General features: G+C 43.5%; 1 protein-coding gene and 1 long non-coding RNA gene across 2 annotated transcripts in view, besides 3 other annotated features; one reads left to right on the top strand and one right to left on the bottom strand.

Moving 5' to 3' along the window:
- Positions 1–14,175, top strand: part of MDN1-AS1 (MDN1 antisense RNA 1) — a 50,950-nt gene extending 36,775 nt beyond the window's left edge. The window contains exons 2-4 of the long non-coding RNA NR_111915.1: positions 90–384; positions 8,663–8,823; positions 9,588–14,175. This is a non-coding gene — a long non-coding RNA (MDN1 antisense RNA 1). The remainder of the gene's footprint in view (positions 1–89; positions 385–8,662; positions 8,824–9,587) is intronic.
- MDN1 (midasin AAA ATPase 1) overlaps positions 1–23,732 on the bottom strand; it is a 177,297-nt gene that overhangs the window by 32,809 nt on the left and 120,756 nt on the right. Inside the window, exons 59-78 of the mRNA NM_014611.3 lie at positions 23,559–23,729; positions 21,054–21,268; positions 20,299–20,686; positions 18,768–18,877; positions 17,137–17,842; positions 15,367–15,528; positions 14,564–14,837; positions 13,267–13,502; positions 12,772–12,867; positions 12,038–12,132; positions 11,596–11,717; positions 10,521–10,667; positions 9,570–9,679; positions 8,525–8,598; positions 7,826–8,024; positions 5,283–5,445; positions 3,293–3,439; positions 2,264–2,390; positions 796–901; positions 158–273 (exon numbers count right to left, since the gene is read on the bottom strand). Coding sequence (NP_055426.1) covers positions 158–273; positions 796–901; positions 2,264–2,390; positions 3,293–3,439; positions 5,283–5,445; positions 7,826–8,024; positions 8,525–8,598; positions 9,570–9,679; positions 10,521–10,667; positions 11,596–11,717; positions 12,038–12,132; positions 12,772–12,867; positions 13,267–13,502; positions 14,564–14,837; positions 15,367–15,528; positions 17,137–17,842; positions 18,768–18,877; positions 20,299–20,686; positions 21,054–21,268; positions 23,559–23,729 — 3,764 coding nt within the window. The remainder of the gene's footprint in view (positions 1–157; positions 274–795; positions 902–2,263; positions 2,391–3,292; positions 3,440–5,282; positions 5,446–7,825; positions 8,025–8,524; positions 8,599–9,569; positions 9,680–10,520; positions 10,668–11,595; positions 11,718–12,037; positions 12,133–12,771; positions 12,868–13,266; positions 13,503–14,563; positions 14,838–15,366; positions 15,529–17,136; positions 17,843–18,767; positions 18,878–20,298; positions 20,687–21,053; positions 21,269–23,558; positions 23,730–23,732) is intronic.
- Positions 14,284–14,833: an enhancer, noted in NCBI's record as "OCT4-NANOG-H3K27ac-H3K4me1 hESC enhancer chr6:90399309-90399858 (GRCh37/hg19 assembly coordinates)". NCBI's record gives its function as "activates a minimal SCP1, AML or CMV promoter by ChIP-STARR-seq in primed H9 embryonic stem cells {active_cell/tissue: H9 hESC(primed)}" and the evidence as "EXISTENCE:reporter gene assay evidence [ECO:0000049][PMID:30033119]".
- Positions 20,079–20,579: an enhancer, noted in NCBI's record as "H3K4me1 hESC enhancer chr6:90405104-90405604 (GRCh37/hg19 assembly coordinates)". NCBI's record gives its function as "activates a minimal SCP1, AML or CMV promoter by ChIP-STARR-seq in naive H9 embryonic stem cells {active_cell/tissue: H9 hESC(naive)}" and the evidence as "EXISTENCE:reporter gene assay evidence [ECO:0000049][PMID:30033119]".
- Positions 20,580–21,080: an enhancer, noted in NCBI's record as "H3K4me1 hESC enhancer chr6:90405605-90406105 (GRCh37/hg19 assembly coordinates)". NCBI's record gives its function as "activates a minimal SCP1, AML or CMV promoter by ChIP-STARR-seq in naive H9 embryonic stem cells {active_cell/tissue: H9 hESC(naive)}" and the evidence as "EXISTENCE:reporter gene assay evidence [ECO:0000049][PMID:30033119]".

Here is a 23,732-nt window from a genome sequence, read left to right on the forward strand (position 1 = left end):
GCAGAGCTGGGAGAAACCCTACCTGCCTCTTTGGGCCTTAAATTCATTTCACAATTGAGAGCATGTCTTATTCCTCTCCCCACATGCAGCAACTCTGAGCTGACTTGGATCTAATTCTTCCCAATTCATGCCACAAGCCCAACTCATCAGCTGATACCTGAGGATGATCCACTGCTCACTGAGCGTGGTCAGGGAGCGCCGCTGTCGGACGAGCATCTTCATCAAATGTGCTGAGAACCCTCTGCACCTCTCCACGTTGCCCATGCCCATTTCCTGGCAGAAGAAGGAAAAACATGCTGAAGGGGCTGCTGACAAACATCACCCACAGATGTGCCTCTAGAAAGCTGTTTCTACTATAAGCGTCAGACATGCCACACTCTAGAGGTGACATATTCATTTTTTTGAGCAGTGTTTCTCCAATTATGCTTGCACAGATCATTGAGATTCCATAGACAGGAACTGGATTTAACTCCAAAATGCATTTATTAGTGGTCTTTTCTCAATTCACAAAGGGAAGAAAGATCTAAAGATGGCATTCTCAATTTGAAGTTTTTAATTTTTCTTAAACATTAAGAAAATCTGTCCTGCTGGCAAGTGTAACTGAATTTATTTAAGGTGTTCTGATTTTGCACAAAATTACATTGATTTATATTTTAAGTTTAAGGATGTACTGCAAAAAGCTCAGTTCCACTAACAGGCTGTTATCACTTAACAAGGTCTGAGAATACAGCCCTGGGATGAACAGAACAAGGGCTTTCCCTGAGCCCCTGCAAGACTCATGTTCTATCATTCTACCTTGGCAGGAGTTGCTAGTGCTGCGTTAAGCCTGGCATGCCGTGCAAGAGAGCGATAAAAATACTTCTGGCATCCATCCCATGAAGACGAGATTTCTGTAAGCAGCCTGGAAAAGATATCAACATTGTTTACTTAATTAAAACCACGCTCTCCCACCCCAGATCCTGAAAACTCAGATATTGGTATATTTGGCCATAACCAAGAGTCAGCTGTCTGAATAGGTTTATTTCTATGAGGAATCATTCAGTGAGGCACTCATTAGTCCTTTACTTAACTCAGCACTGGAAGTATCAGGGGAAATAAATTATGCTGACAACATGGTTTCTTCAATGAAATCTTCCTATCTTGGCAGTGGAGGCTAGGGGGTCATAAACTCTGATGCCTACAGGGGCCAGGCAAATAACATAAGAGGACTAAGGACAGCCAAGCATACAATGATGCATGGCAGTGACAGCTGACCTCAACGTGGGGAAGACACAGGGGTTGTTGAGGGCTCAAGTAAGCTGGAGAGCATGTGTCCTATCAAAAGGAGGAAACTACTATTCAGCTACAGTGCTGCTGACTGAATGGGAATGCAAGCCCACTTCGTGAATTTTCCTGAAAAAGAATGCTTATGTAAAATTTCCCCTTTCTACAATGTTCTGTTGAATTCAAATTTAAAGCCCTGGGAGCAAATAAAACACACATGTGTACTATACCCAGTTCATGCAAAGCATCATTCACAACATCCTCTGCTGTGTTGTAAACAGAGGTAGCTCTGCCTGTCTCAATAGTGTATGGACTCGCAAATTCAATAACATATTAGAACTTATGAGGAGTGTATGTATATAGAGCAACTAAAAATATACCATTTTCTAATAGGTTTCCACATGTATGATCAAATGAAGCAAGTAGACCTCAGGAAAATCAAAAGGCAAAAAAAAAAAAAAAAAAGGGAAGAAGAAGAAGAATGGAGAGGTGAATGCAAGGAAGAAAGAGAAAGAAAATAAATGTTTTTTTTCTTTTTTTTTGACAGAGTCTTACTTTGCCGCCCAGGCTGGAGTGCAGTGGTGTAATCTCAGCTCACTGCAACCTCCACCTCCCAGGTTCAAGTGATACTCCTTGCCTCGGCCTCCTGAGCAGCTGGGATTATAAGCATGTGCCACCATGCCTGGCTAATATTCTGTATTTTTAGTAGACACAGGGTTTTGCCATGTTGGTCAGGCTGGTCTTGAACTCCTGACCTCAAGTGATCTGCCCACCTGAGACTCCCAAAGTGCTGGGATTACAGTCATGAACCACTGCACCCAGCCTCACACTTTCATTTGAATGTCCATCAGGAGTCAGATCCTGAGCCAGGCACTTTTGTAAGTGGTAGCCACAGTGGTATTGCTATCCCTATTTTTGCAATGTGCAAATGAGGACAAGGAGTTCTAAATTACTTGCTCCATTTATAAGTAGGGAAAAAACAAAACAAAAACAGACAAACCTAGAATCAGCCTCCTGAGTGCTGCTGACGATGGACAATGCGCTCTGGAGATCTAATGGGTGAAGATGAAGCATCTCTTGAGGGTTTTTTGAACGGGCCCAAGCAAGACCTTTGCGATACGACAAACCTAGGAAATAAACAGCATTTCTTTAAGCAAAGATGCTTAGTAGAGAATGGATGTGCCCCCCTCTCCCCTGCTACTCAAAGCAAAGTCTTCTAAACAGCATCACCTGAGAGCTTGTTAGAAATGCAGACTCTCAGGCTGCACCCACACCAACTGAAACAGGATCTGTAGCTGCACTTCCACAAGATTCCCCAGGTGATTCACATGCACGTTCAAGTTTGAGAAGCACTGCTCTCTATGCTATGCTGCAAGCATATGGTACAGCACGTGGTGACAGAAATTTTAAAAATACAGATTCTGCCAGGCACGGTGGCTCACGCCTGTAATCCCAGCACTTTGGGAGGCTGAGGCGGGTGGATCACGAGGTCAGGAGATTGAGACCATCCTGGCTAACACGGTGAAACCCTGTCTCTAGTAAAAATACAAAAATCAGCCGGGTGTGGTGGCACGCGCCTGTAGTCCCAGCTACTTGGGAGGCTGAGGCAGGAGAATCGCTTGAACCCAGGAGGCAGAGGTTGCAGTGAGCCAAAATCACGCCATTGCACTCCAGCCTGGGCAACAAGAGGCGGAGGTTGCAGTGAGCTGAGATCACACCGCTGCACTAACCAGCCTGGGCAACAGAGCGAGACTCAGTCTCAAAAAAATAAAATTAATTAAATAAATAAATAAAAATATAGATTCCGAGAAACCTCATACAAAGCGGGAAATATTTGGGAATCATGGATGGCTGGTCATAGGATTTTCCTGCATGTGAGTGGAACTCTTAGACATCTGGAAACCTTGCCTGTACCTTCTGTTGTCCACCATCTCAACTGTCTATGGAATTTCCCCCAAAATCAGTCATGTCATTTCTCTCCCTAAAAGTTGGTGACTACATTTCATTGGGTTTCAAGTGAGAACCTTACCAATTTTTGCAAGGTGTTTAAAGAGGTCTGACAAAGCTCGCTGTTTTTGCATGAGAATGTGCTTGGCTTCTGACCGCTGCTTCTCCTTCTCTGCAGAGGGTTCCACCTTTAAGCTCTGCAGCTCACTCACAGAGGAAATCACTTCACCTGTAAGGGAAAACAAGGCGGGGAGGGGAGACAATAAGAAAATCCCAGGGGTCTGGTAATGTGTTTGTTACCCAACACCAGGGACCTTCTGGAGAACAAAGGCCAAGTATCATTCATCTTTATACCCTGGGTACTTAACATAGTCCCTAGCATTTGGTAAAATCTCATTAAGTGTTTTAACCAAACTGGTCAAGGTGCATGGAAATAGAAAAATAACACACAGGATTTCAAATCTCTTGACAATAACAACCCGAACAGCAGCAGTCATTCTTTTGTATTTAGGGGTTTTATAATCAATCAAGCAAATGCACTTACTGAGCACCAACTATGTGCAGTGCATTATACTAGAAATTTATAATCACTTGAAGGAAATTTCAGATTAATATAATATGTATTGAGTTTCCACTTGTAGCTAGTACATCGTAAATTCTCTTTTCATGTGCACAACTTCAGAAGCACCTATTTGTAGCTCCATTTTACAGACTTCAAGAAAGGCTCAGTGAGGTCTAGTCACTATCTGAAGGCCATGTGGTGAACGAGTAGATGAGCCAGGACTTGAACACTGGCCTACCTTACTCCAAAGCCCAAGTTCTTTCTATATAGCACCAAGCTGCCTTCCTGAATACACGTGGGTACCAATAACACAAGGGTGCCGCCTCCCTGTTGCAGGCAGTGTTATAGGCTGGGTTGTGTCTTCCCCCTCAATTCATATGTTAAAGTCCCAACCCCTAGAACTTCAGAATGTGACTGTATCTGGAGACAGGGCCTTTAGAGAGGTAATGAAGGTGAAATGAGAATGGGCTCTAATCTAATCTGACTGAAGTCCTTAAAAGAAGAGATCAGGACACAGAACACACAGATGAAGAGTGACCACGGGAGGACACAGTGAGAAGGTGGCCATCTGCAAGCCAAGGAGAGAGGCTTCAGAAGTAATCAACCTTGCTGACACCTTGATCTTGGACTTTTAGCCTCACACTGAAGCCACCCAGTCTGTGGTACTATATTAAGGCAGCACTACCAGCCAAATATAGGCAGTCACCAGTGAGCACAAGGACACCAAAGACATCAGACAGTGTGGGAGAGTTAGAGGATGAGGGAGGCTTTGCATCCTGCAGCGCATCCCCTCTCCAGGAGATGCAAATGGATCTGTATTCCACTCACCCCCACCCCTAGGCCTGAGTCACCTTGAGCAACGGCTGACAAGTTTTAAAAAGGAAGAGCTCCCTGAGATTAGATGCAACCTCATTAAAGGCAGGCCACCCTCACTGACAGCACACTCACTGCAGTTGGGGGGTAGATGGGGTGAAGGAGGTAGTCAGAGGCTGCCAGGGGCCCAAACATTCTATTAAATTCTGGGTTCCCTTCCCAGCTATTGCTGTGTTACACTATGAGATCTTCGCTCTCACCTTCCCTGAGCAAAGACAGCCTGAGAAATGAAACTGCTGTGCCTCTCTGAAGTGAAGAAAGCAAGAGGATGGGGATGAATCCTCCTCAAGTGAGACAACTTTTTGACAGTGGGGACAGCTTAGACACTGGGAAATCCACCTCTGTGCCCCTTTACTGGTAACACCAACCAACAGGAACTAGTATAGACAAGGCTCTCATAAAAGATGGCACAGTGCCAAGTTACATGAGAGGACGACAATGTGAAAATTATGATTGTGTGTTCTCAGTAGGCTCCTGTTTCTGAGCTCTGTGGGTTTTTAAGCCCACTTGCTTATTCAATCAACTGTTCAACACTACACAAGGTATCAAAAAAGGACACAGTTGCCACATTCTCAGCCCTCCTGCGCCACTGGGGAAAACAGAAAGATCCACCCTTGACTTGGATGCTGGCACCCACCTGTGAACTGATCAAGGCCCTCCACAAGGCGAGGCAGGGGGCTCTCCTTCATGAACGTCAGGCACATCTTCCTCATGCGTTTCCTGAGCTTTGGCAAGCGACGCAGAAGCTCCCCTTCCAAGCCGGAAGGAGCAGCGCCCTGACACCACTCTGGAATTGTGGCCTGTGAGACAAAAGACAGGTTAGCCTCACTGCCAAGAATGACAGGCAGTGTCCCTGCAAGGGAACTAAATTTAACTGTTGCACACAAAAACACATCCCTAGTTCAGCAAATAGAGAACAAATGTAGCATCACTAAAATTAAAAGAGACATACTGTGGATATTTAGAAAACCATATTACTGCTCCATATGAGATCATTATAACTGAAGGACCCCCATGCCCCTACATCCAGCAATGCTTGCTATGATAGCCACAAGGAGACTCCAGTTCTGAATTATGAACAGAGTAGAATGAATAATATCACTGCTGCCCTTAAGGTGCTGAGCCACATTGTGTTTCTCAGACACAGCAGCCAGGCGAAACTGGTCCTACTCCTGTGACCAGTTACCCCTAATTAACAGTTTAAATTTCAGGAATTCAGATTTCTTTCCTTTTTTTTTTTGAGACAGGGTCTGGCTTTGTCACCCAGGCTGAAGTGCAGTGACCCGATGTTGGCTCACTGCAACCTCCGCCTCCCAGATTCAAGTGATTCTTGTGCCTCAGCCTCCCGAATAGCTGGGATTGCAGGCATGCATCACCATGCCTGGCTATTTTTTGTATTTTTAATAGAGATGGGGTTTTACCACGTTGGCCAGGCTGGTTTCGAACTCCTGGTCTCAAATGATCTGCCTGCCTTGGCCTCCCAAAGTGCTGGGATTACAGGCATGAGCCACCGCACCTCAGACACAGGAATTCAGATGTTATATGAAGGGAAGAGCTTTCGTCCATCAAGGGCATATTTTCATTTTTTTTTCCTTGAGGAATAACCTGAAACTCCTATGTTGTCATTATTAGCAAATCAAAATTGTTGATCAGAATGACAGAAGCAGTGAGCTGACAAATACAGTCAAAAGAAAATAAATTTGGTAGCCATATCATATCTCTGCAGCCATCTTATGGCTGTATGCTCAGTTTCTATTATGAGTTTTGAACCACTAAAATAACAAAAATAGCTTAAGGACTTTCATTACTAACTCTGTGAGCCCCAGGTAGGAAATACAGTAAGAAGACAAAGCTAATTACTCTTTAAAAAGTAATTTTTTTTGGAGAGACAGGGTCTCATACGTTGCATAGGCTGGTCTCAAACTCCTGGGCTCAAGTGATCCTCCTGCCTCAGCCTCCCAAGGTGCTGGGATTACAGCCGTGAGCCACTACGCCTGCCCAGAAATTACTCTCCTGAGGGGTGTCTTCCAATCCTGGAGCTCCCCACACCCAAGGACATGAAGCAGGAACATCCATTCTGTAACAGACCTGCTAACTCAAGATGTATCACTGTTAAATTTTCAGGAATTTTGCAAGCCAAATCTTAACTGTTGGTGCTTGAAATTGGCCATAATAGGAGTATTTACACCACAGTAATCAGCATCTGCTATAAACCAGCACATCACGGCACATATTCACACCCTGTGCAGTAGCTTCCTCATGTGGTAGCCCACAGGCAGCTTCAACGGCATATTCTTAAACTGATGCTTCAAATCTTTGCTCATAGCAGATGAAATGTTCACAGGTAAAAGCACAATTATTTCTCACAGGCTGACATTAAATTTTAAGCAGCAAGGCCAAGTGCGATGACTCATGCCCATAATCCCAGCTCGTTGGGAGGCCGAGGCAGGGAGGATCACTTAAGACTAAAAGTTCGGCCAGGAGCGGTGGCTCCCGCCTGTAATCCGAGCACTTTGGGAGGCTGAGGTGGGCAGATCATGGGGTCAGGAGATCGAGACCATCCTGGCTAACACAGTGAAACCCTGTCTCTACTAAAAATACAAAAAATTAGCCAGGCGTGGTGGTGGGCACCTGCAGTCCCAGCTACTCGGGAGGCTGAGGCAGGAGAATGGCATGAACCCAGGAGGCGGAGCTTGCAGTGAGCCGAGATCGTGCCACTGCACTCCAGCCTGAGCGAGACTCTGTCTTAAAAAAAAAAAAAAAAAAAAAAAAAAAACTAAAAGTTCAAGACCAGCCTGGGCAACAAAGTGAGACCTCATCTCTACAAAAAAAAAAAAAAAAAAAAAAATAGCCAGGCATGGTGGCATGTGCCTGTGGTCCCAGCACTCAGGAGGTTGACGTGGAAGGATCATTTGAGTCCAGGAGGTTGAGACTGCAGTGAGCCATAATCATGCCTGGGCAATAGCACGAGAATCTGTCTCAAAAAAAAGCAAAAAAAAAAACCCCAAGATTTTTTGCCTTATTCTGCAGGGAAGTCAGGCAAATACATGCTATATATGTCCAAAGAACAAGATTTCAAAGGCATTTTCTTGTCTAGTACTGAGGCATGCCTTGCACATAAAACACAGATCCCACTTGACTGGCTTGGGAATAAGCCAGCACTGTCCCACAACCAAGTACCTGCCCAGCTGCTGGTTGGGCTAACAGGGTCTCCCTCAGTGCCCTGTTCAGATTCTGAATGGAAGACAGTTCACTTGCAGCTCCATCTGTTGGCCTGGGCAAAAAGTCAGGCTGTTCTTCCTTGTCACTCTCCACCAGGGATGACCGGCAGGGTTCACTCAGGACTGCTTCAAATTTCTTCATGAATTTAAAGAGTGTCCTGTCCCCAGGTAATGACAGAGATAAGAAGAAAAAAACTGGATTAGCAAGTGAAGACATATAAAAAATACATTATCATGCATCCATACATAATCTAATACCCTGTACCTTTTATATACAATGCTCTCCTTAAATATTAATAGTTGTTTTATTTTTAAGAGAAAAAGTATGGCAGGTACTGTTATCCTCCTTTTCTAGAAGAGAAACTAAAGCCAGAAAGAATGGGATTGCTTTGCTCAAAGTATACAGCTAGTGGGTGGCAGAAGACTTGAGACATAGCCTGCTTTGTCTCAAGGCACACTAATCCTTACTGCAGGTAGACTTTGCTTGGAGAAGAAGGGGGTGGTGTTGAAAGCAACATCAAAACAATCAAGGTGTTATTTTTTGAGAAGTTTAACACACTTAATATTAAGTTAGGTTATGGTAACTATGTCGTTTTGCTCCCTACCACACAAAATTCTATTCTATTTTGGTTGTCTCCAGTTTTAAAAGATGGATTACCTGTGTGTCTTTTCTACAGATTGCTTAATGGACCAGAAGCTGACATCATTCCACTTGGAAATCTTAACAAATTCCTGTAAGATAAATGATGTTCAAGAAATGGCTTTATAAAGCTAGTGTCATTCTGTTTCTTTCTAGATTTCTGTTCAGCAAAGACCAGAGCTCACTCTATCCCAAACACAGGACTGTGTGTCAGTGAACAAGTAAAACAAGTCTAAAAAAGAAACCATGGGCTAGGCGCGGTGGCTCACACCTGTAATCCCAGCACTTTGGGAGGCCAAGGTGGGCGGAATCACAAGGTAAGGAGATTGAGACCATCCTGGCCAACATGGTGAAACCCCGTCTCTACTAAAAATAGAAAAAATAGCCGGGCTTGGTGGCTTGCACCTGTAGTCCCAGCTACTCGGGAGGCTGAGGCAGGAGAATTGCTTGAACCCGGGAGGCAAAGGCTGCAGTGAGCTGAGATCGTGCCACTGCACTCCAGCCTAGGCAACAGAGTTGAGACTGGGTCTCAAAAAACAAAAACAAAAACAACAAATGTTTTGGTCTCAAAGTGATTTAAAAAAAAAAAAAAAAAAAGAGTGCTGCTACAGTCATTAAGTCACCTGACATATACTCCAGCTTAGGAACCACCAAGTTAGTCATGTCCCTTGTACCATGGTTGGTTCCACAACCACTGAGAATATCAAAAAGAGCGGTCCCTCCTTCCCCCATGGTAATTCAGTAGTGTGTGGACCAACACAACATGGCATAGCTCTGAGGTGGGAGACAGGCCTGGGCAAGACCAGGGGAACACAAACAGATTTCTGTGGCAGTCCTCTGAGGAGGCTCTGACTGGCCACTCCACCAATCGCTCACACACTCTGCAGGTGACAAAAGAAGCCAATGCCACCGATGTACATATTGCCATCCTCCCTAGCGGTGGCAATGCTCACCTCTATTCCCCTAGGTCCCTGCCTCAGTGTTAAATGGATAACAGGGTTAACGAAAGAGAATTTGCTGATTTTGTCCTCCCAAGAGTGATCATGACAGCTGTTCATCTTACTTTAAGTTCTTTTTCTAGGGGGGAACGAAGTTCCACAATTTTGGCCTGGACCCGGTCAAAGAATTGCTTGTAATAATGGTACAAATTCCATAGAACACTGCAAAGTGAATCTGGAAGAAATGAAAAGGAAACAAAAATACCACACTTGCTGCATGTGCTACTGGTGCCAGCTGTGGCCTTCATATTTCAGTGATGACCCTTCCTCATTACTCTCTATGCCATGAGATTACAGTGAGTTTCACAGGTGCATTATTTAGGGATCCTGTCTGAGTTTAGCATTTCCCAGAGATGCAGGCTGTCAACACTCCCCTATTTTTCACTTCTGCTTGTAACAGATGTTTTTTTGCACTTTTGTTCTTGAAGATGATGTACTCCTAGGTTCTTCTAAAATCACAATGTCAAATTCCTTCTGTGAAACTTATTGTAAAATCAGCAGAAACTGAGCTTTTTTTAAAAGATGGCATATTAAGCAGTTCACCTCAAATGCTCATTCATGTACAATCTATACTCATCTTGTAGTGAGACTTTTATCCCAGTTGCTGTGATCAGGGATAGTACTTGACAGCGGGCAGTTTTAGATGCAGTTCCTTGATGGCTGGCAGTGCTCTCACTGGATGAAAGAAACTAATAATGGCCTGGATCAAGGAGCAGCTTAGCAGGACATTTACAATGTCTAGACAGAGAGATGTGCTGCCTCAACATGGTAGGTCCTGAGATCTTCATCTGGCAATTTACCTCTGCCAGAGCTCACTAGTCAGTACTAAACTTATAACCATCTGCACCTCACTTTGAATGTTCTTCTCTATATCTAATGTGAATCGCATTAAACATAACTAAATGTGTCTTGTTTAAAACCTAGCGTGCAACAAGGCACCTGTCTCATGCAGAGAATTCAAAGCCTAACTCATTTTAGTCGTGCAATGTCAAAGGAAAGGAAAAAAAAATCCTCACCCTTTCCTTCAACCTGTGGCATCAGCAAGACATGACAATGGAAAACCAGTAACATCTGAAGTCGCACATGGAACTCTCCCAGCGAGGATCCTTCAATAAATGCTTGTAATGTGCTGACCAGCAACATCAAGGTCATCTGTTTGTCATCTTTAAAAATTCAAAGAGAAAAATATATATGTTCCTTCGACCATGACTCCCTATTCCTAACATGCACGCAATCTATTTGGGATACTACGGATGGCCAAGAGGTAGACATCACAATGTGAAGCTCTCAAGCAAGGACCATGGCTAAATTCTAAGCTGATTTAAAAGTAACAGGCCGGTGTGGTGGCTCACGCCTGTAATCCCAGCACTCTGGGAGGCCAAGGCGGGCAGATCATTTGAGGTCAGGAGTTCAAAACCAGCCTTGCCAACATGGTGAAACCTCGTGTCTACTAAAAATACAAAAATTAGACAGGCATGGTGTTGGGCACCGGTAATCCCAGCTACTGAGAAGGCTGAAGTAGGAGAGTCACTTGAGCCTGGGAGGCGGAGATTGCAGGGAGCTGAGATCGTACCACTGTACTCCAGCCTGGGCAACAGAGCAGGACTCTGTCTCAAAAAAAAATAAAAAACAAATATAAATAAATAAATAAAAGTAGCAGCTGCACATAGAGCATGTGTTAAATGCACTCACAGCAAATTATGAAAATGAATTATAAGGTGCTTGTCACAAGTATAAAATAAAAGACTGTTCATTCAAGCATGTTGGCTACTACCTACCAAAAAGTCAGCTTTCAGTTTGACTTCTATCATGGACATAGAGAAGACGGAAACCTTATCCTACGACTGGTTCTCTAGACTTTTGGAGAAGACATTTAAACCTCTCACACTTTTGTTATTATTCTCTCAGTTAGATAAGCACGATTTACAGTTTTCTTGGCTGACCTCTCAGAAATATCATGAAGTCAAATGGGAGGCATTCCCATGAAAGCCATGTAGCGGGAGAAGCGGGAGCAGGAAAATCCTACACTTTGCAGCACTCCATTTAGCCGGGAAGCTCTAAGTGGGCAGGAAATGTACTGCTAGGCATTACCTTCCTGTTCTTCTGTTTGTTCCTGCATGTGCTTCTCAAGCATCTGATAGATGGAGAACCAGTGCTTGGTGGATTTCTCGGTGTGGCGCTTCATAGTATTATCCAAACTCATGGACCAGCAGCTGAAACGAGAAGAAGCCAAGGAGGCATTTAGGAAAACCTATTTGAAATATCTGAAACCAAAGATGCAGAAGCTACATGCTCACATTTCTCTCCTCCCAAATGGAGATGGAGGAGCCACCCAGTTTCCTCCCTCAAGAATATATGCTGTTGTCTGGACTGTATTCAGGTCATTTTAATGCCCTACTTTTAACTCTGTGATTAATAACTGAAAAGCACATTCTGTAGCTGTAATACTATATAAATCCTAAAGAAATTTAAACTACCAAAAGACAAAAGCCCTTACAACCTAAGTTTAGGAGAGGGAAGGAGAGTCACTTACTTCAGCTCCAGTTTACGCCACCGAATGATCATCTGACTGATCAAATCAAGATGTTTCCGCAAAGACAAAGCTCGACTTGCATTTTCCTCCCAATCCTAAAGAAACAAAGATAAAATTTACTACAGATATTATTCAATGCCATAATCACCTCCTTCCTCAAGAACATCTTGAACTTTGCTTGAGTGAAGACTACTGGGCCCTTAAACAACTTGCACCAATTGTAGGAATGAATTTACAGTGTATCAGCTTCAAGTTCTTTCTGTTCACATGACAGAACTCCACCAGAGCCAAGTTTAGAGGCTGGCAAAAAAGCACAGTGTTTATAGACTGGAGCCTGAATTCGTGCTCTTTGCTATCTGACCTAGAACAAAGACATGCGGCCCTTTTCTGTCCAATGGGGAGGCAACAGCTAACTTAGAGGCCATGAGGGCACTGAGGGGAACCGTGTATGTGGGCACTCAGTTGGAATGAAGGCCCACCTGGAAGGCTGGGAGGAGTGCACCCTCATTACCGGTAGATACTGCATCCCACTGGATAAAAGGCAAGGCAGCTAGCCCTCACCACAGGGGCAACAGCCTCACTTGCAATGATCTCACCCCATGCCAGAAAAACCAAGGATGTTTACCTTTTTCTAGCCCAAACTATAATTTTCTGTCTAACAACAAAGGTGCCACAAGACGTATCTTTTGCCAACTGACCACCAACTAAAATGAGGAAGAGAGGTATTAGCTCACCTGTGCCTTTGCCAGAAGGATCTCTAAGCCATTCAGGAACTTTGAGATGGGACTGGAAAGTGGGAAACTACGAATTCTGTCCATTACAACCAGGAGCTGCAGAAATAAAGATTTGGGTATCTCAGTAGGAATACCAGTGATCCTAAGTCACAGGGTACTGAAGAGAGTCCTGACCAGAAGATTCCCCCCAGTTCTCTACTTTTAAAACACCTCTGAAAAAAAAAACAGAGCAACATGGCAGCATTTTATTATGTGGTCAGCAACTCCTGACCAACAAATAAAATTAACAGAATCCCCAATCATTTACACAAGAGAAATACAAAACTGGTGTGTTCATCCTGCAGTTAGTAAGTAACATCTCATTGAACTGCAGTTCTTTAAGCCTTTGTTTATATGTATATATGTGCAAGTGGGTGCCCCCAGGGATAATGGTGAGGCTGCATCCTCATTGCAGACTCAGTACTGTGAGCACTCCTTCCTCAACAGCTGCCCTACCTGTTCAAGCGCTGGGTGTTCTGGCCAGTCCTGTAGCAAGTGACTGACAGCCTCTGAGAAACCTTGAAGCACAGGTTGACACTGCCGTGCTTCTGGAACATTGGGATGCTGGTAGAAGTCATAGGGCCCATCAGGTTTCACCATCAGGTCTGAGGGTGCCTCCCCAAAAAGAGTGTTATGGGAGAGGGTACAGGCCAAAAGTTGGCTGCCCAAGAGTCGGTCATTCAGTTCAACTCCTGTGAAGTTAACATCACGGTAAAGTCAGTGAATTCAGTAAGTTGATCTATCAACATGTCAAAAAGATGTCAGCAACAGGGCCAGGTGCAGTGGCTCATGTCTGTAATCCCAGCACTTTGGGGAGCCGAGGCAGGCAGATTGCTTGAGGCCAGGAGTTTGAGACCATCCTGGCCAACATGGTGAAACCTCTTTTCTACTAAAAATACAAACATTAGCCAGACATGCATGTGCCTGTAATCCCAGCTTCTTGCGGGCCTGAGGCACAAGAATTGCTTGAACCTGGGAGGCAGAGATTGCAGTGAGCTGAGATTGTGCCACTGCACTCCAGCCTGAGAAACAGAGCATCAGCAACATCAGCAACAATGAACTAATTGGGACTAATGAATGCTATTCTCCCCTAAAGCAACATTGGCCTAGAGAACTGTAATCCTAATACTATAGTAGCTACCTAAAGCTCTCAAGTTTCTGGAATGTGCAGAGGAAGTCAGAAACTGCCTAGGTATAAACAAATGGTGTAGGGGTTAACTCAGTGCATCCAAATTCCCAGTTTTTATACCTATTCTAGGTAAACAGAAAGGAAACTTAAAGCCTCCTTCCTACTTCTATGAAATAATGCCAAGAAATCATGTAGGAAACTGCAATGAACCAACTATTAAACCATATTCTACAAGATTGGTTGCTCCCAGGTATGTGTTATTTCATTTCAAAAGCACTAAGGCTATTTGACAGCAGAAATAATGCTAAGGAAAAAAAAACACATACACGTACACATTTAAATTAAGTCCTTGTCCTTATTTTCTTAATCCCTCACCCCAAAGGATCCAAACAATAAAAATCCATCTTTTTCTTGGCCCATTTGTACACTGATGAAAATCCATCTTATTACAGAATCCTAAATCAATTTTCTTGAATCAGCTTCAGTTCTTTAAGCCAAGGAAACTCCAATAAGGAATTATGCGAAAACAGGAAATTCATGAGTGTGATTGTTACAGAGTAGCAACAGCATCTATTTGCATTTGCTTTCATTTCCCAGGGGCATAACAAAAGTAAACTACCATACCCATCAGGGGGTAGAAGTGTGTCACAAGCGATGCCCCAGTCTGATAGCAAGACAGAAACAGGCTGAGGTAATGCTTTGCTTCATGTGGCGGCAGAGTCTGTTGATACCAGAGGGATCGAGCAAAGTTGAGACACAATTGCTGGTGTATCAGCATTACTGCCTGCATTGAATTCTGGGAGAGGAGAGCTGGGTTTGTGCCTGCTTCCTCTTCTTGCCCATCTGAAGTTCCTTTGTTCTCCTCCAACGTTGGCTGCACCAAAATATCTGCAAAGTCCTATAAATAGCATTAGAGCAATTGAACTTTTAAAAATCAGAATCTACTTCTAATCAGACTAAAAGGAAGAAAGAAAAAAGCATAAGAATGACTGAAAAAATGAAATAGGACTAATATATGTATTAAAATATATTTTAAAAGACTACAGGCTGGGCACAGTGGCTCACACCTGTAATCCCTGTGCTTTGGGAGGCCGAGGAGGGAGGATCACTTGAGGTCAGGAGTTTGAGACAGCCTGGGTGACATAGTGAGACCCTGTCTCTGTAAAAAATATAAAAACGGCAGGGTGTGGTAGCATGCACATGCAGTCACAGCTACTTGGGAGGATTGTTTGAGCCCAGGAGTTTGAGGCTGCAGTGAGCTATGATTGCGCCACTGCACTCCAGCCTGGGTGATAGAGCAAGACCCAGTCTCTAAAATACATACATACAGAGAGAGAGATAAAGAGGAAGAGAGAAAGCCATCAGAGGGAATGTATATGGCATCAAGGGAATTCATTCCAAAACACACCCTGCCATCACTGCTCTACCTTTTCATGCAGGGGGAACTGTTTTCTGAACTCCCGTTCTTCCTCCTCCTCTTCACTCAGGGCTGTCCTAGAGTTCCTGCTCCTGTATCTATACAGGCCGCTTTCCTGCTCAGCCTTCTCTTGGGCTATGCGTTCCTGCTCATCCCACTCACTGATGATTTCCTGAAAGTCACACAGACAGAAAGAAGCTGAGCTTTCTTTGCTGAGGCATTCACAAAGGCAAGATTTGCTATTAATTTCTCATGAAAATGAAAGTATCATGACTCAAAAACAAATAAAAGCCAACATCCAAGAAACTAAATTCCATGGAATAAAGAGCAAATGGGTTTTGTTTTCCAAGTGTGTAGCCTCAGCAACCAGTTTCCTAAATCCCCCCTGCTGTGTCATTGTAATTTTGAAGGTGTAAAACTTGCCACAGTACAGCTAATGGGAACTTCCTGTCAAGAGGTAAAGGTGCTTTGTAACAAGGACAGACTCAGGGTTGGCCATGAGAGGGTTGTGGTTCAGACAACACCTGGGTGGCACCCCAAGGAGCTGGCCAAGGGGTTCAGAAAAGAAACACTTAGACTAGGGACTGGGTGGTCAAAGGGCACCAATCAGGCAAAACTGGAATGTGTCTTACCAGACACTTCTGAAATTCCCTACCACTTCTAAGATTTTAGATCTTTAAACTGGCAAAAATTCTAACTTAAAGAACCATCCGGTACTGCTGAGGTTGAGGAAATAAGCACCCACCATCTAGGAAGGTAATTTGCATGTAAAGCCTAAGAAGTGTGTTTAATCTTTGTCCCAGCAATCCTGATCTCTAAAATTTGTATCCAAATATATAGCTGTGAGACTATTTACTGTGGCATTGGGTTGGTTTTTGTTTTTTTTTGTTTTTTTGGCAAAACAGTAAAAGTATATACAAATGTAAATGTTCAATGATAAGAAAATAGTTAAATTACTTGTGTCATAAACATACAATAGAATACTTGGCAGTCACTAAATATGAAGCAGGTGAAGAATACAGAATAACAGGAAAATAATCACTATACATGAAGTTTTTAAAAGCAAACAGAGTTATCAAATAGAATAAACTTTACTAGTGGTTTGTTGTACATTTTGTAGCAATTTAAGGACATGTCTCAGGGGCCCTGGTGGGGATTAGAATCTACCTTAACCGGAGCAACTCTTTTTTTCTGTTAACTATGCTAAGATTTGTATTTTTTAAAAGCTGCTGCTACTACAAAAAAAAATTTGTAAGCCACTGGGACAAATTTTTAATAATTTAGAGTGTCACAGACATACAGCTACAGATAAATATTAATATATATACACATACAAGCAAGCCTGGAATGGGATACCTGGTATGTTAGCAGCGTTTATACAGCTTTAAGTGGTAGGATCATTAGAAATTTTAGTATTCTCTTAATTGCATACAATGAGAGCAAATTACTTTTATTAATAAGGGAACATCTTAATGCAAGTTGACATAAGTACCTGGCAAAATTACCAAAAAGGCAAAAGACAACTGACAAACTGGGAGAAAACACATGTAGTGTATAATAAAGGCCGCTCTCATTTTTTTTTAATCTCTTAAAAATTGAGAGGCAAAGGTCCCCAAACATGATAGTTAAATAGGGAAAAAGAAGGAACAGAAAACAAAATGCCCACGCCCCAACGACACTGTGTATCTACTAGGCATGCTAATGTCCTGCAGGCCGCCCTGCTGTGAACCTGGCTCTCTGCAGGAGGAAGGGCAGGGCAGGCCTCCCAGAGATGGCTCACCTGACACACATGTCTGAAGAGCTGCAGGGCCCTCTGGTCCAACTCTCCCTTGCATAACACGTGGGAGCGCAGGTAAAGGAGAGCATTCATCAGCAGCTGCTCCCGAGTGGGACAGGCTTTCTGGCCCTTGCCTTCCAGCTCCTTTCCTCCTGAGCGCTTGAGGATTAGCTTCCCAAGGCCTCGTAGAACCTCCTCAGACTTCACCGAGCACAAAGTGTCTGCATGAGCATAGTAAGTCGGGAAGGTGGGGCCCACCGATGGGAAAGCCAGCAAGGCTGTGGCCAGGGTCCCCAGCCTGTCTGCACCAACCATACTGCTGTGGAGTGAGGTGTGGAGCTCAGAGGCCACCAGCCTCATGCCATGTTGTAACTGCAATATGGATGCCTGCAGTGGGCTCACGGCATCTGGATAGAAGGTGTACTCCTCTGACAGCCGCTTCCGGAACTGGTGGTGTGACTGCTGCCAAGAGGCCTCCTCCTTTAGAAGGCTCTGGGCTACTTGGGCAGACCGTGGCCCATCTATGTGGAGGGCCTGCAGAAGCCGTGTGAGCAGATCCTGAACAGCAGGGGCCTTGGCGATGCTGGTGACGTAGTGGTGGATCTCCTGAACCAGGGACTCGTAGGCAGGCAGCTGGGGTCTAAAGGCCTGTTTCTTCAACAGGTGACAGGTTAAATTATCCAGCCGATCCATCCTTTGGCGAAGCAGCCTAACGGGAAATTAACACAATATGCCAATTATGTCAGAAGAAGAGCAGCAAATCTAGATTGGATCCTCAGCTAGGAAAACCGAAGGAAGAAACATCAGCTGCTGCGAAATAATATTTCCAATATCATCTCAGTTGTGATAATACTGACAATTAGTTAATGAAAATGGATAACATTTACACAGCAGTTACTGTGTCATGTATGTTGCTGGTGCTCAGATGCATATCTTACTGAAGCCTCATCATGACTCACTGGAGTAGATAACTACAATTACCCTTCTTATGCTGATATGGACACTGAGATGTAAGCCATTAAGTGATCTACCCAATGTCTAAAACCAAAGGTCAGGAGTAGGACTGGAACTCAGAACCTACTACACTATACAGGCTGAGCATCCCAAATCCAAATATCCAAAATGCTCCCAACTTTTTGACTGCCAGACAATATGACACTTAAAGAAAATGCTCATTAAAGTATTCTGGATTCCAGATTTTCAGATCCGGGATGCTCAACTGGTATAAATATTCCAAAATCTGAAGAAAAAAAACGAACCCCAAATCCAAAACACTTCTGGTCCCAGGAATTTTGGATAAGGGATCCCCAACCCGTACCATATTTCCTAGTAACACACCTACAGCCAAGAATAGCAGAGAAATATAGTGCATACTATCACACCCCACTTCTTCTATGCTGAGACTAAGTTTTGGCTTCAAACATCTTGGCCCCATGTGAACACACACCTTGAATAGCCCCCCTCTCCTCCTTTCACAAGGCATATTATTTTTCCTGACTATAAACAATGCTTTGGCATCTAATTGCTAATGTAGTTTAGAGGTGTATATTATCACTTCTACTCACACCATAACTACATTACATCAAAAGGAGAGTCAATAATCCCCAAAACAAATAATCACTCTGCTGTGTTACCTGACGTGAGGATGAGAGTAGCTGACAACGACTTCATCTTCCAGGTCTCTTCCAGTCTGCAGCTGGGATGACAGGTTCCGGGTCTTCCATTCACACTGCAGTTGGTGTAACTAATGGAAAAGAGAGAAGTTAGTCCACTGTGTCCCAGCTATGACCATGCACATGAGGACAATGTCCTGGGGACACGTAGAGGAACAAGATGGAAGGAATCTGGGTTCCTGAATGACCCAAGGAGAGGTGGCTCTGCTCCATTAATCTACACCACTCACATCAGAGCTGTGAGGGGAAAGAAACGATCTTATTTACACCACTGAATTTTTTAGTCTCTCTGCTATAGGAGCTTAGCCTTCACTCCAACTAATATAATTTTCCTTCTTCAAAATATGTACTAACATACCATCATCTTAATGTATTTAGTTCCTGAACTTGGTTCAAAACTTCAAATAGCAAGGGATACCACATTACCCAAATCAACTTGACTCTTTTTTAAGACAAGGTCTCGGCTCTGTAGCCTGGCTGGAGTGCAGTGGTGCAGTCATGGCTCACCGCAGGCTTGACCCCGCAGGCTCAAGTGATCCTCCTGCTTCAGCCTCGTGAGTAGCTGGTATTACAAGCACATGCCACCACACCCAGCTTTTTTTTTTTTTCCTTTTTTTGTAGAGACAGGAATCTTACTATGTGGTGGCCCAGGTTAGTCTCAAACTCCTGGGCTCAACTGCTCCTCCCACTTCAGCCCCTCAAAGTGCTGAGATTACAGGGTGAGGCCACCACACCCAGCCTCTACTTGATTCTTGAGTTTTAGATAGCAAGCACCAATAAGTTAAAAATTCCTAGGATATAGGGATACTATATTCTATCTAAAGAAATATCCAAATCCAGGCTGGCCATGGTAGTTCATGCCTATAATCCCAGCACTTTGGGAGGCCAAGGCGGGTGGATCACTTGAGGTCAGAATTCAAGACCAGCCTGGCCAAGATGGTGAAACCCTGTCTCTACTAAAAATACAAAAATTAGCCAGGCGTGGTAGCGGGTTCCTGTAATCCCAGCTACTCGGGAGGCTGAGGCAGAGAATTGCTTGAACCCAGGAGGCAGAGGTTGCAGTGAGCCGAGATTGTGCCACTGCACTCCTGCCTGGACGAGAAAGCAAGGCTCCATCTCAAAAACAAACAAACAAACAAAAACCCAAATATCCAAAACTAAGCTCAGGTAGAGAGAGTCCAGAGACAGTGAGAGGTACCACTATTTCTGACAATGGCTCAGGTTTTCTACCTGCCCTCTGCCCATTGCACCTATTGGCAGAGATCTCAGAACCTTAGGAAGGGCTCCTCCCAGAGCATGAGTATAGTCAGGACAACTCTCAAAGGGGAAAATACAGTCTCTAAAACAGACTCCTGGGAAGTCATAAGGCAACTTATGCAATATCATGCTTGTGATGATCTGAGCACCCAAAAGGGAATAAAAGGAGTAATACAATAAGCAAACCCAGCACGTCAGGGAAGGAGCCCATGCTCCATACTCTTGCCTCCCATACCTCTTCCTTGACGTAATTGAGCTTGTACTCCCTCTTCACCGCAGGGTCAAAGCGTGCCTGGGGAAGCCATGTCTGAATCTGGAGCAAGCCGAGGCTCACCCAGAGGCTCCCACGCTGGGCTGGCTCAGGCAGGCTCCTCTTACTCTCCCCTTCACCAACAAAGTGGTGCAGGGAGGTGAGCAACTGGCAGAGCAGTTCCTTGGGCAGCACCTCCTGACCAGCCATGTCCCCAAGTGTCTGGCCCACATGCTGGAAGGCCTGGCTGCTCCCAAGCAGCAGCTGCTCACAGTTCTGCATGTACTCCTGCCGCCGGGACTCTGGGAGCAGCTCTGCTAGGCCTGCCAGGTGCCGGAACAGCACCTGCCCCTGGAGTTGGGAATCCGTGCGTCTGTGGGGACAAAAAGAAAGCACTGAAAGGTTTGTACTGTATCAAAAAGCATTCCTTTTCATACAGTATAATTCTCTCAAGAAATGATAACCACAGAATGCAGCATCAATATGTAGAGGTGAATTTCTGTTCTCACATGGTCTTATTTGGTTTACTAAGTTCACCCTCTTGATCACAATATGCTTAAAACTGACATGGGAACCAGCCAGCTCACGGTAGCCTGAAAACATGCTGATTCAGGCAGAAAATACCCTCACTTCAAACACCAGAACTAGCCACTACAGAAGGAAGTTCTCACTGGGTCTCTGCTCCATGCTGTGGAGAAAAGACAGGAACTTTACAGTCTGCTTCCAGGGCGAGGGAATACCTGAATTCTGCTACTGAAGAGATAGCCATGTTAGTCCAAAGCATCGAACTGATGTCCTGGAGCTGCTGAGTTCTCTCAACCCACTCTCCTAGGGTCACGTGAGAGGAGGAAAGAATGGGGAGGCCACTCACATCCCAGGGACTTGCTCTCCAGCTGCTGGTTAAGACTTCAAAGCAGCACTTAGAGAATATGGGTCTATTGAGATTGCCGGGGCCCTAAAGGACAAGAGAAGAGTCAATAACTTTTAGAAATTAAGACAATTTCCAGAAGCAGCATTAGGGAACCTGAGAGGAAAGAAACAGACAGTTCAGGTTGCTTGGAACAGGTAAGCATCACTCAGAGACTGGCCTAGAAGGACAGAACAGGTTAGTATACCTTAAATGAAAGTGGACTCCATGCTCTAGGAAATGAGCAATGGATGCTTTAGTAATGCATGAGGAAAGCCCGCAAACCTGGGAATCAGAGAGCACATTCTTGCAGAAGGGAAAGAAACACACTGCAGGAGGATAAGAGCCAACTCAGGGTGCAAGGAAAGGAGTGAGAGACAGATGTAAGAGCCAGGGACAAAATATGCCATGTCTGTGCTCCTTAGACTGTTAGATGGGACACAGTAATAGCTGTCCACAGCAAAGGGTTGTCAAAGGGTGACAGCCAAATGTGTGTGATAGTCAACTCTGTATAATGCCATACAACCCTCAGGGATCCAAAGTTTATCACTAAAGGCTTTGAGGGGTGTTTTACAATAAATCCATTTTGATAGTGCAAAAGAATGGAATAGAGTTCAGGTAAATCCAAAAACATTTGGGGCAATAAGGCATTTCACATGAGAGTGGAAAGGAGGAATTAGTCAAAATGATGTTATTACATCGCTTTTGGATCTGTTTGTATAAAAGAAAAAATTTGCATCCCTATATCATAAAACAACATATACTGATGAAATAGATTTGAACATAAAATAAAAATATAGGAGAAAATAATGGAAAATAGTTTTGAACTCGAAGTGATGGAGGAAGAAATTTTTTAAAAGCATGACACTAAAGTCAATAAGTAGAAGGGACTGGCATATTTGGAGGGAAAAAAATTATAAAACTTGTGACATATAAGAAAACAAACTTGAGAGATGACAGAAAACTAGAAATATACTTCCAACTCATATTGGGCAAAGGCTTAATATCCATAATACATAAAAAGATCTTCAATAATAAACTGACGCTGAACAACCCTATTTTTTTTTTTTTTTGAGACAGGGTCTCACTGTGTAACCCAGACTGGAGTGCAATGGCACGATCTTGGCTCACTGCAACCTCTGCCTCCCAGGCCCAAGCGATTCTCCTGACTCAGCCTCCCAAGTAGCTGGGATTCAGGCGCACACCACTACTGCCCAGCTAATTTTTGTATTTTTGGTAGAGACAGGGTTTCACCATGTTGGCCAGGCTGGTCTTGAACTCCTGACCTCAAATGATCCACCCACCTCAGCCTCCCAAAGTGCTAGGATTACAGGCGTGAGCTACAGCGCCTGACCAACACAATTTTTTTTAAAAAAAAGCACAACTATGACTCGAAAATTCAGAGAAGAACTAAAGGGGATCAGTAAACGTGAAAATATGTTCAATCTTCACACTTATCAAAGAAGTGCAAATGAGTTCTTTTTAACTATATGACAGAAACAATTGAAAATGTTTATAACAGCTAGTGTAGCAAGCAGATGAACAGGTCCTCATCTCCATGTTAAAGGAAACTAAACCTCACTGTGGTCATCTAAGACTTCAGGACTTCCCTCTTCACTGGCTCTTCACATCTTTAAAAAAGTGAAAAGCAAAAACCACATTTCCAGTCTGGCAATAACCATAATTTTGTTTTTAATGTGTAGACACTCTGACCAAGGATTCAATTCTAATTCTAACAACTTATGCATAGAAATGCTCCAACAAGTGGACAAAGATGTATACTAGGATAGTCAATGTGGCATGCTTATTATAGGAAGAGGGAGAAAATGCAAGAAACTTCAACACTTTATCGGTAAGAAAGTGATTAAAATAAATTCAAGCACATTGATACAATGGAATAACTTTTAAAAATAAGCTGGAATGACATACACATTTCTGTTACATATATGTGTACTTAATTCTTGTTTACGTATGTATTTAATATAAAAATATATGTAAACAGAAGGATATAGAACAGAGTGGATATTTCTAATGAATTCTGTATTATATATACATATATCTGCACTGTTTAAATGTTTTATAGTGGGAAAAATGTTTTAATTAGAAAAAATAGACTTTTTCAATAAAACCTTTTTTGACTTATCTCAAAATTTCACAAATTATTTAACATGGTATACTTTTACTGACAGTACACTTATTTAACATTCTGCAGAAAGTAAAGTGTTGCAATCACCTGTTTAGTCACCACTCTATGCTAGGAATAAATGTTTATTGATAGATCCATTCAGAAACTCTTTTGCCACTATCAAACATTTTTTATAATTTTAGACCAACAAACCTTCAATGTGGAGTCCAAAACAGACTTGGGTGCCTCCCTCTGCTGCATACCAGGCAAAGGGTTCCACATTAGCCAGTACTCTGGATTTGTGGTCACAGTACTGCTCCAGAAAGACATAAACATGGAATTAAATAACTCGGACCACAAAGATGTAATTTCTTCAGGAGACACCTA

Source organism: Homo sapiens, chromosome 6 (genome assembly GCF_000001405.40).
Source record: "Homo sapiens chromosome 6, GRCh38.p14 Primary Assembly".
Taxonomy (NCBI): Eukaryota; Metazoa; Chordata; class Mammalia; order Primates; family Hominidae; genus Homo; species Homo sapiens.